This window comes from Homo sapiens, chromosome 15 (assembly GCF_000001405.40).
Source record: "Homo sapiens chromosome 15, GRCh38.p14 Primary Assembly".
Classification (NCBI taxonomy): domain Eukaryota; kingdom Metazoa; phylum Chordata; class Mammalia; order Primates; family Hominidae; genus Homo; species Homo sapiens.
Window position 1 is genome coordinate 81,627,250 of NC_000015.10, and position 13,002 is coordinate 81,640,251.

At 38.1% G+C, this 13,002-nt stretch overlaps 1 long non-coding RNA gene across 6 annotated transcripts in view; it reads right to left on the minus strand.

Annotated features, from left to right (window-relative positions):
- LOC102723985 (uncharacterized) overlaps positions 1 to 13,002 on the minus strand; it is a 50,131-nt gene that overhangs the window by 12,319 nt on the left and 24,810 nt on the right. Inside the window, exon 3 of one of the 6 annotated variants that reach the window (XR_007064736.1) lies at positions 3,118 to 6,931. The exons of the other annotated variants lie outside the window; for them this stretch is intronic. This is a non-coding gene — a long non-coding RNA (uncharacterized LOC102723985). Of the gene's footprint in view, positions 1 to 3,117; positions 6,932 to 13,002 lie in introns of those variants that run through there. 6 annotated transcript variants of the gene reach the window in all.

Consider the following 13,002-nt stretch of genomic DNA (forward strand, 5'->3'; position numbering starts at 1 on the left):
AGGCATCATTCTGTGAAGTATTTACCTGATCCTTATGATTAGGGACATAGCGGGGTGATCACAAAATGTCTATTGAATCCATGCAATGCTTTCCTATGTCAAAATAGTAATAATCAGGCCGAGTGCAGTGGCTCATGCCTGTAATTTCAGCACTTTGGGAGGCTGAGCTGGGTGGATCATTTAAGGTCAGGAGTTTGAGACCAGCCTGGCCAACATGGTGAAACCCTGTCTCTATTAAAAATACAAAGAGAATAAAATACCTAGGAATCCAATTTACAAGGGATGTGAAGGACCTCTTCAAGGTGAACTACAAACCACTGCTCAACAAAATAAAAGAGGACACAAACAAATGGAAGAACATTCCATGCTCATGGATAGGAAGACTCAATATCACGAAAATGGCCATACTGCCCAAGGTAATTTATAGATTCGATGCCATCTCCATCAAGCTATCAAGGACTTTCTTCAGAGAATTGGAAAAAACTAGTTTAAAGTTCATATAGAACCAAAAAAAGCCCACGTAGACAAGACAATCCTAAGCAAAAAGAACAAAGCTGGAGGCATCACGCTACCTGACTTCAAACCATACTACAAGGCTACAGTAACCAAAACAGCATGGTACTGGTACCAAAACAGATATATAGACCAATGGAACAGAACAGAGGCCTCAGAAATAACACCACACATCTATAACTGTCTGCTCTTTGACAAACCTGACAAAAGCAAGCAATGGGGAAAGGATTCGGGTGCTAGGAAAACTGGCTAGCCATATGTAGAAAGCTGAAACTGGATCCCTTCTTTACACCTTATACAAAAATTAATTCAAGATGGATTAAAGACTTATATGTAAGACCTAACGCCATAAAAAACCTAGAAGAAAACCTAGGTAATACCATTCAGGACATAGGCATGGGCAAGGACTTCATGACTAAAACACCAAAAGCTATGGCAACAAAAGACAAAATAGACGCATGGAATCTAATTAAACTAAAGAGCTTCTGCACAGCAAAAGAAACTATCATCAGAGTGAAGAGGCAACCTACAGAATGGCAGAAAATTTTTGAAATCTACCCATCTGACAAAGGACTAATATCCAGAATCTACAAAGAACTTAAACAAATTTACAAGAAAAAAGACAACCCCATCAAAAAGTGGGCAAAGGATATGAACAGACACTTCTCAAAAGAAGACATGTATGTAGCCAACAGACATATGAAAAATGCTCATCATCACTGGTCGTCAGAGAAATGCAAATCAAAACTACAATGAGATACCATCTCACGCCAGTTAGAGTGGTGATCATTAAAAAGTCAGGAAACAACAGATGCTGGAGAGGATGTGGAGAAACAGGAACACTTTTACACTGTTGGTGGGAGTGTAAATTATTTCAACCGTTGTGGAAGACAGTGTGGCGATTCCTCAAGGATCTAGAACTAGAAATACCATTTGACCCAGCCATCCCATTACTGGGTATATACCCAAAGGATTATAAATCATTCTACTATAAAGACATATGCACACTTATGTTTATTGTGGCACTATTCACAATAGCAAAGACTTGCAACCAACCCAAATGTCCATCAATGATAGACTGGATTAAGAAAATGTGGCACATATACACCATGGAAAACTATGCAGCCATAAAAAAGGATGAGTTCATGTCCTTTGCAGGGCGCGGATGGAGCTGGAAACCATCATTCTCAGCAAACTATCCCAAGGACAGAAAACCAAACACCGCATGATCTCACTCATAGGTGGGAGTTGAACAAAGAGAACACATGGACACAGGCAGGGAACATCACACACCGGGACCTCCTGGGGGGTGGGGGGCTGAGGGAAGGATAGCATTAGGAGAAATACCTAATGTAAATGTCGAGTCGATGGGTGCAGCAAACCAACGTGGCACATGTATACCTATGTAACAAAACTGCACTTTGTGCACATGTACCCCAGAACTTAAAATATATTAAAATATTGTTATATATATTATATATTTTATATTTATACATATTTATATATATATATATATATATATATATATATATATATAATTGAATACTACTCAGCCATAAAAAGGAATGAAATAATGGCATTTGCAGCGACCTGGATGGAATTGGAGCCAATTATTCTAAGTGAAGTAACTCAGGAATGGAAAACCAAATATCGCATGTTCTCTCTCATAAGTGGGAGATAAACTATGAGGACACAGAGGCATAAGAATAATACAATGGACTTTTGGGACTCAGGGGGAAAGGGTGGGAGGGGGTGAGGGATAAAATACTACACATTGGGTACAGTGTATACTGCTCAGTTGATGGGTGCACCAAGATTTCAGAAATCACGACTTAAGAACTTATTCATGTAACCAAACACCACCTGTTCCCACGAAACCTACGGAAATAAAAAATTTAAAAAAAAAGTTAGCTGGGTGTGGTGGCGTGTGCCTATAGTCTCAGCTACTCGGGAAGCTGAGGCAGGAGAATCGCTTTTACCCGGGAAGCAAAGGTTGCAGTGAGCCAAGATCACACCACTGCACTCCAGCCTGGGCGACAGACCAGGACTCTGTCTCAAATAATAATAATAACAATCAAACATCAGGAGATGACCCAGTCTTTTTAATATATAGGGAAACAATCCTTTCAGTTATTTCCTCTTCCCAGCTGTTTCTTCAGTTCAGAGCTTCCTTTCTTCTTTCTATATCCAATAGTGTGTGGCTATGTGCTCCCAACAAATGAATGCACAGGGGTACGAATGTTCATTTTTGAAATGAGTACCTATTAATGCCTTTTTTAAAAATTACCATTGTACCTTTCCAGTGTCCTTAGATCATCAGTGTTTGAAATCTAAGCATTACACAAACAGCAGAAGCATTATCAAGAATGACTAATCCATACAATGCAATTATGCACCTGCTGCTTACAGGCACATGAAATATATTCTGGGACAAGATGGGAAATACAAATACAGGCATGGACATGGATTGGTTGCTGGGATTCTTCTCACCATAAAATTATGGTTTTGCTGCTGCCACTACAGAAACTGTGGTTCAGGTGGCTCAGGGACGATGAAAATGTCCACAGTCTTCAGTCCAAGAAATGAAACACAGGAACCTTCAAGTGTTTTGTAATCACTGTGTTTATTTTATTTCTCCTTCACCATGGCTGTTACTGGCAGGAAGGCTCTCAAAACCAAATTCCAAGAATTGTATTAAACATATTTAGCTCACCTACAGAGTTCTCTATGCTTTTGCATATGAGATGTCCCAGAATAAAGTCATTTCTTGAATCCAGTGGTTTCCAAAACATATTTTGTATTGCCTCCCTTTCTCATTGTCTGTCAACTCCCAAGTTGTTGTGATGATCTCAGTCATGAAAATACCAGTGGGTTCCTGAGCATGAAATTAAAATAAAGAGACTTTTCAGATGATAGTTTAATTCCACTTGCAGAGGAGAAGACAGAGGTCCAGAGAACATTAATGAATTACCCAAGGTTGTGAATTGTAAGGAACAAAACCTAAAATGGTTCTCAGTAGTATGCTCTTTTCTTTACTGAGTTGTCCCTACAGTCTTCTTGAACCTTACTTATAATTCAAGGTGCACTGTATGTATCCAAAGTAGTAGTTCAAGCTCCTCTATTGGAATATTATTTATTTCTTTTTATTATGTAGTTATTATTATTGTTATTATTATTATTATTATTATAGGCTGTGACATAAGAAGAAGGATAGTCTTGGTTCTTAGTTCCTGGCAGAGAGCTACTAAAACCCTTGGAATTTGTCTTTTCTTCTAATTAGGTGGGTCTTAGTGGGCTTTTAGATAGCGTTAGGATGGAAGTTGGTTGCCAGAAAGATCAAGCCTTTAGCTTGATCCAAATTAGAAATCTGGAACTTTCAGCCCCACCCCACAAAGTCTGGGGAGGGGAGAGGAGCTAAGATGAATTAAACACTAATGGGCAATGAATCAATCCGTTTAAATGATCTTTTGAGAGTATGTGTGTGTGTATAAATACAGTCTTCCAAATTGTCAGGGCTCTGTAAAAGTAATTTTTGAACTTTGCAGAACTATAAGCAGCCTTACTTTCACCATTTTCTATGTGAAAGTAACATCATTGAAACAATTCATCCTTTGTATTTGTTTCCAAGAAACAATGCAAGTTGCAATGTGATCTCAGACCTGTTTCATATGATTATCTTTGATTTAAAGTTTCATATGAAGAAGGTATGGGACAGAAGCATAGACAAGGTGTGGAGATTGGAGAGTAAGCTAATAGGGGGGCACACATCTGTCTTTGGAAAAAGAGTCTGGCAGAAAGTTGAGAGAGCCTGCCATAACTCAGCTGTGGCTTTGGGGTGGGCATATTCAGCACAGCGAGTTTTCCCACCCACTGTTATTTTTCTACATAAAAATACAACTCAACGAAAACAGCAAGGCATAAATATTAACTAGTCCTAGCGTGAAATTATGTTTAAAGAGATATTGTCCAAGTAAAGTAAAGTACAAGAATATACACAAACTATCCTTTTATGTGAATATTTTCAGAACTGTTTTGGAAGAAACCTGTTGGCTCCACTGAATGTCTGATAGGCAAGGAGGTTCTTTTTTTTTTTTTTGAGATGGAGTCTCGCACTGTCACCCAGGCTGGAGTGCAGTGGCATGATCCCGGCTCACTGCAAGCTCTGTCTCCTGGGTTCACGCCATTCTCCTGCCTCAGCCTCCCGAGTAGCTGGGACTACAGGCGCCCGCCACCACACCTGGCTGATTTTTTGTATTTTTAATAGAGACAGGGTTTCAACGTGTTAGCCAGGATGGTCTCAATCTCCTGACCTTGTGATCCGCCCACCTCGACCTCCCAAAGTGCTGGGATTACAGGCGTGAGCCATGGCGCCCAGCCCAGCAAGGAGGTTCTTAACCTTTTAGAAACCGACTACAGGCCGTTATAATAGAGCCAAGTCTCTGTTAAGGTCCTTGAACACAGGCTCTCAGCTTTGATATGACCGAACTGAGCAAGGGAAATAGATCAGGCAAAAATAAAACTTTCTTGATTGGAATAATAAGAATAATTTTTTATTTTGCAGAGCCAGGAGATTTTATTCAGCACAGGTGTTTATAATTTTCTGTTTTCAACTTAAAAAAACTGAGTGGAAAAGAATTGCAATGGGGAACAAGGAGACACTTTGCTCTGAAATGAACAGAGAGGTTAGGAAGCCCAGTGGCCAATTCTGCATAAACAGGTAGCAAAAGTACAAGTGAAAAGTGGGACTTGAACTTCCTTTGCAGACATAAAAATGCCTCATAGAAAATCAATAAAAAATAAAGTTTTGCAAAATAATTGCATTACCTCAACTAATAAAACTGCTCACTTTTTTTTCTGATATGTCCTTAAGGTTGAAATGATAGTTTTACAAAGTGATATTTCTCAGCATCCATACGTGTTTTATCCCATATCTCTGCTTAAACTTTAATGTAAATGTTTGTCTCTGCCCTCTTGTGAATTTTTCAAAATTGCTTCACAAAGACCTTTAAGGACCAAATTGATTCAAAGCAAATGGAATAGAATAGAACTGAGATTAAGAACCCTTTGTTCTTATCTGATGTCTGGTTTTGGGCGATTTAAATTTTATTTTCTGCGAAGACTATTTATTGAGTTGTTAATTCGAAGTCGTATTCTTATCAACTTTTATCATTACATAGGCCACAAATTTTGTTTTTAAAAATACAATGAATGAATACAATAAATTAGTAAATGTGCTAATTTTGTTAATAAAATGTATCACTAATATTTTAATGTTTCTCCTTTTTTGGTTCCATGTGTGTATTATGTGTATATATTACACACACATGCACAATACCTAACTACACAAGTATATAGCCCATACCAATTAGGTCATCCTGTACATTGTTTTGAAGCCTACTCTTGTTTTATATAGAAATATGTTATAAATTTCTCCTCTGTCACTAACTGTTCTTCACTCTATCATTATGTGGCTATTCCATTGTTTAGACAAGCAGTTCTCCATTGTTAGACATTCATGTTTTCCGCCCAGTTTTACTTTTAAAATAATCAAGTTATCATTACCTTTGTCTATACACGTCTACAAATATCTCTGATTATTAGGGTAAATGGCTGGATCAAAAGATATGTGCTTTTTAGAGCTTTTGATTAATGGTTCCAAAATGTCTTTGAGGATGGCTTTATTAAAGTTCCATGTGTACTTCTACCAGCAGTAAAATAGTGTTCTTTTCCCATGCCACCACCAACTTTGGATATTTAATAAAACCTGAAATCTTTGGTGATTGCAGAAAACAAAGGCAAAAATTCAATATTTAAAAAATGTGAATGCTTGCGAGATTGAAAATTTATAACATGCGGACTGGTCCCTGAATCTCCCTCATACCTCATCTCTATTTTCGTCTCCTACAGTGCCTACCTTCGTTTTGGTACTTTCACGCTATTTTGAATATTATCATTTTCTCGTGTAAATGTAGTGCGCTGAATGGTGGGCCCCAAAAAGATATGTCCATGCCCTAATTCTCAGAACCTGTGAGTATTACCTTATCGGTAAAAGAGTAAATGTTACCTTATTTGGCAATGGATGCAATTAAGGGTTTTGAGAGGAAGAATTAATCCTGTATTATCTGAGTGGGTCATAAATCCGATGATAAGTGTTCTTAGAAGAGGGAGGCAGAAGGAGATTGGAGAGACACAAGAGGAGAAAGCGATGTGAAAACGGAGGCAGATAATGGGGTGATGTGATATCAGGCACAGGAAAGCAGCCAGGCAGCCACCAGAGCTGGAGGTGGCCAGGAACGCATCTTCCCTTAGGGTTCCTAGGGGGAGCACAATCCTGCCGGACCTTGGACTTCCAGAAACTGTGAGGGAAGCCATTTCTGTTTTTAAGCGGCAAAGTTTGTAGTAGTTTGTTACAGCAGCCCTAAGAAATAAATACAACAGATTAATTTTAAACATGCAAATCTCCTTTCATTCTTTACTGTTAATGTTTTCTCCATTCCAGAATAATTTTAGAATCATTTTTTGTCAGAGGGTAGTGAAAAATAAAATTGTATGCTGATACTACCTAGAATAATGTTAAATGTATAAAGGAAATTGGAGACAACAGACGTCTACCATTTTCATCCTTATACCTAGGCTCCTGGAAAGGCTTTTTAAGTTATACTTCTTTTGTGTTACCTAATAAAGCTTTGACTTTTTTTTTTTCCCATATGGGCTCTGTAGTTGAATTTATTTTTAAGGTTTTTTTTTTTTTTAAGTGCATTATACTTTGTTGCTAACATAATTGAGTGTGATATGTTCTCGGTCAGTGCTTTCTAATGGAACTTTCTGGGATGATATAAATATTCTCCCTTTGCCTTGACCAATGTGGCCAACACTAGCCTATTGAATGTTTGAAATGGGGTTAGTGTAATTGAAGAGCTGCATGTGTACATTTTAATAAATGTCAATGAAAGCCACATATGGCTACAATATGGGACAACATAGTTCTATGTGATTATTGCTGCTTTATTAGATGACCAAGGCAGTATAGCAAAATGGTTAAGAGCATGGGCTCTGGAGTTACATGGTCTGAGTTATATCTTAGCTCCACCATTACTAGCTTAGTGGACATACACTGGGAAATAACCCTAAGTATTGGTCTGGAGGCCGGGGGGCAGGTGGAGAGACCCTCAGATAAGCATTGTTTTATAGTGGACTTGTGTCATTTAAGGTTTGTTTCATCATAGTCTTCAAGCAAGAAGCTGGGAATAGTGAAATACTTCTTTATTTGACATTTTTGTTTTATTTTTATTTTATTTTTTATTTTTCCATAGGTTGTTGGGGTACAGGTGGTGTTTGGTTACATGAGTAAGTTCTTTAGTGGCGATTTGTGAGATTTTGGTGCACCCATCACCCCAGCAGTATACCTGCATCCTCTTTATAGTCTGTTATCCCTTACCCCTTTCCCACCCTTCCCCTTAAGTCCCCAAAATCCATTGTATCATTCTTATGCTGTTGTGTCCTCATAGCTTAGCTCCCACATATCAATGAGAACATACAATGTTTGGTTTTCCATTCCTGAGTTACTTAACTTAGAATAATAGTCTCCAGTCTCATTCAGATCACTGTGAATCTTTAAGGCTGAGTAGTATTCTATCATATATATTATATATGTATATAATATATATATAAATATATATAATATATACATATATAATATATATGGATGAAGAAACTGTGATATATATATCATATATATCGCATGTGTATATATATATCATATATATCGCATGTGTGTGTGTATATATATATATATATATATATATATATATATATATATATATGCGCATTGATTGATGGGCATTTGGGTTGGTTCCATGATTTTGCAATTGCAAATTGTACTGCTATAAACATGCATGTGCAAGTACCTTTTTCATATAATGACTTCTTTCCCTCTGGGTAGATACCCAGTAGTGGAATTGCTGGATCAAATGGTAGTTCCACTTTTAATTGTTTGAGGAATCTCCACACTGCTTTCCATAGTGGCTGTACTAGTTTACATTCCCACCAGCAGTGTAGAAGTGTTTCCTGATCAACACATCCACACCAACATCTTTTTTTTTTAATTTTTTGATTACGGTCACTCTTGCAGGAGTAAGGCGGTATCACATTGTGCTTTTGATTTGCATTTCTCTGATCATTAGTGATGTTGAGCATTTTTTCATATGCTTGTTGGCCATTTGTATATTTTCTTTTGAGAATTGTCTATTCATATCCTTAACCCACTTTTTGATGGGATTTTTTTTTCTAGCTGATTTGTTTGAGTTCATTGTAGATTCTGGATAGTAGTCCTATGTCAGATGTATAGATTGTGAAGATTTTCTCCCACTCTGTGGGTTGTCTGTTTACTCTGCTGACTGTTCCTTTTGCCATGCAAAAGGTCTTTAGTTTAATTAAGTCCCAGCTATTTATCTTTGTTTTTATTGTATTTGCTTTTGGTTTCTTGGTCATGAAATCCTTGCCTAAGCCAATGTCTAGAAGGGGTTTTCCACGTTATCTTCTTGAATTTTTATAGTTTCAGGTCTTAGATTTCAGTCCTGAATCCATCTTGAGTTGATTTTTGTATAAAGCAAGAGATGAGGATCCAGTTTCATTCTCCGACATGTGGCTAGCCAATTATCCCAGCACCATTTGTTGAAGAGTGTCTTTCCCCACTTTATGTTTTTGTTTGCTTTGTCAAAGATCAGTTGGCTGTAAGTATTTGGGTGTATTTCTGGGTTCTCCATTCAGTTCCATTGGTGTGTGCCTATTTTTATACCAGTACCATGCTGTTTTGTGACTATGGCCTTATAGTATATTTTAAAATCAGATAGTGTGATGCCTCCAGATAGTGTGACATTCTTTTTGCTTAGTCTTGCTTTGGCTATGCAGGCTCTTTTTTTATTCTATATGAATTTTAGAATTGTTTTTTCTAATTCTGTGAAGAATGATGGCAGTATTTTGATGGGGATTGCATTGAATTTGTAGATTGCTTTTGGTAGCATGATCATTTTCACAATATTGATTCTACCCATCCATGAGCATGGGATGTGTCTCCATTTGTTTGTGTCATCTATGATTTCTTTCAGCAGTGTTTTGTAGTTTTCCTTGTAGAGGTCCTTTGCCTCCTTGTTTAGTGATATGATTTGACTCTGTGTCCCCACCCAAATCTCATCTTGAATTGTACTCTCATAATTCCCACGTGTTGTGGGAGGGACCCGTGGGAGATAATTTGAATCATGGGGGCAGTTTCCCCAATACTGTTCTCATGGTAGTGAATAAGTCTCACGAGATCTGATGATTTTATCAGGGGTTTCCGCTTTTGCATCTTCCTCATTTTCTCTTGCCACTGCCATGTAAGAAGTGTCTTTTGCCTCCCACCATGATTCTGAGGGCTCCCTAGGCATGTGGAACTGTAAGTCCAACTAAACCTCTTTTTCATCCCAGTCTTGGGTATGTCTTTGTCAGCAGTGTGAAAACACTAATACAGTTAGGTATATTCCTAAGTATTTTAATTTTTTGCCGCTATTTTAAAAGGGGTTGAGTTCTTGATTTGATTTTCCACTTGCTCACTGTTGGTGTATAGAAGAGGTACTGATTTTTGTACTTGTATCTGGAAACTTTGCTGAATTCTTTTATCAGCTCTAGGAGGCTTCTGGAGGAGTCTTTAGGGTTTTCAAGGTAGACGATCATATTGTCAGCAAACAGTGACAGTTTGACTTCCTCTTTACCATTTTGGATGCCCTTTATTTCTTTCTCTTGTCTGATTGCTCTGGCTAGGCCTTCCAGTACTATGTTGAAGAGGAGTGGTGACAATGGGCATCCTTGTCTTGTTCCAGTTCTCAGAGGGAATGCTTTCAACTTTCAACCATTCAGTACTATGTTGACTGTGGGTTTGCCATAAATGGCTTTTATTACATTGGGGTATGGAGAATAGTGAAATACTTCTTCATCTCCACAAATTTCTGAGTAATCTGGGTTTCAACTTTTGTATGTGTACCTACCCGGATAGCCTCATCCCAAATCTCCAGGTCCCATTCCTTCTCTTTCAGGTCCCTGACTTTGGTGTTAGAATTCTCCCAGGACTGCAAATCCAATGTTCTCTGATGTTTTGCTACTCTCAGAATTGGGTCATAATACTTTTCCTCAGTTTGTCCCTATCTCCACCACAACTACAGGAAAAGAGGATTGCTTTGAATGTTGCCAAAGAAGCCCTGAAGGAAAGAAAGCCCAAAGAGGCTTTTACACTTGGCTTTGAATTGGTGATTAATGGTACTGAGCTTTCTGTTTTCTCTTCAAAGCATCAGTGGTGTTCAACAACAGCCACCAGATTCCACAGACCTTATAATTATCATTTTCCTCATATTGCTCAAATGCCAGAAATATTGCTCAAGCTAGGGATTTGAGTTCATGTAGTCTACTGAGAAAGGGATTGCAGGGAAAAAAATGAAGGAAGCAGGGAGGGAAGAGAAGGGGGATAAATAGAGAAATGGCCTCAACTGGAGTCCAGCTCAAGCCTGAGCATGAACTGTACCACAGAGGCAGCCCACCATTAAGGCAAGGATGTCTGCCTTTTGTAGCTCTATATCAGTCAGCTATTGGCTGCAGGCTACCCAAGAGGAAAGTAAAGCTCAGGCTAAGGCAATTTCTGTTCTGCAGAGTATACCTTTCTAGAGAAGTTGTAGCTGTGAGCTTTCAGCCGTTAGCACAGCAACCGGGGGGATTTGTTACTATCTTAGAGAATCTGGGCAGGACACCAAGAGTGTCCACTACCCTAATTTGTTTAAGAAAAGAGTACTGAGGTTTGAATTTTAATCAAAGACTTATTTTTTTAAATCATTATAGTTTTTTTCTAACTTGAATTGTGTGATGTATTATATCAATAGTTATTGGTTGTTGTTTATCTCTTTATTTACTCTAGTAATTGATCTATTACTGAGTCACTTTATTCTACCTTGCCCATGATAAGTTAGTCTTTTTACACTACTGTTAAAGTCTATTCACAAATACTTTATTAAGGATTTTTTTCCTGCCATGTATAGCTGCATGGTCTACTCTAATAAATGTGGCTCAGAAGAACAACAATAATTTATTTACTAACAATTTTTCAATTTGGGTAAAGCATGGAGGGCATGGTTCATTTGTGTTCCATGTTGTATCTGCGGGGATGGAACATTTGAGACAGTTTTTTCTCTAACATGCCTGGCGCCTTATTTGGGACGGCTCGGTGTATCTCTCCCCTATAACTTCTCTTCCTGACTAGCTTGGGCTACCTCTCACCATGGTGGCTGGGTTCCAGTAAGTAATGTTCCAAGAGGACAAGTCCCTTTTTGCAAGCACACATCAAGTCTCTGTTTGCGTCAGGTGTGCTAATGTCCTATTGTCCGAAGTTAGGCACATAGCCAAGCCCAGAGTCAATGTGAGACTACCAAAGCGTGCAACTAAAGAAGTAAAGGTCACTTGAGACCGTCAAAACGTCAGTTTGCTACATTCCACCCTAATGATTCATATCTCTTCCACCTGTCACGTCTCTTCCACCTCCCAGGACCCTCAAGGTCTCATCCCATTATGATAACTGGCTTAGACTTGAAATCCAGGATCTTGGCATCCAAATTAGCTTAGATGAGGATAAGGTTTCTTGAGTATGACTTATTTCAACCTACAGCCCTGTAAGCTATACAGATATATTTATTTTCTGCTCACCTGAAAACCCAATATACAGCGATGAGGCAGGACAGGAAAACAGCAATAGACACTGCCATTTAAAAAGAGAAAAACAGGAGGCACATCGCAATCACTGATGCATAGCATTTCTGAAAACCAGCTGGCTTCATTTTCCAGTATCTTTATTAAAACTTGGTCATCTTCCCTGGAACCATATTTTCTGCTCTGTTAGCTCTTGGTTTCTCCCTCTGATTCATTCTTTTTCCATAAGAAAAGACCTGTTTTTGCAGCTGAGCCGCTTCCTCTGCCTGGGCTTTCTGCCCGTTGTGAACGTCTCTGTCTCCCTTAGTCCAAATTGTCAGTGCTTATGGTGGTATAATTCTCTTTTTCAAAAGTGTGGATTTCTTATGAATCCTATTGCAGTTCAGTCCATCAGACAAAGGCCACATCCAAAAATCTCTTCAAGACAGATTGCTATTTATTGATTTAAAAATTACTTCTGCATATATTTGAACATTACTTCTTTCCATTCTCTCCCTTTCTTATCCCAACTACTTCACTCAACCTAGGTTTTGGGAAGGCTGGAAAGTTTTATTTTTCAATCTAGCAAGATCTGAGTCTTCTCTATATTTTAAATAATTTCTATTTATTGCTGAATTATTTATTAATTTATTATAAACATATTTTCCTTTATATCCTTGAACATAGTTATCATAACTACTTTAAAATTCTTATCTAATTTGGCAAAACCTCATCTCTACAAAACTATAAAAGTTAGCTGGGTGTGGTGGTGCATGCCTCTAGTCT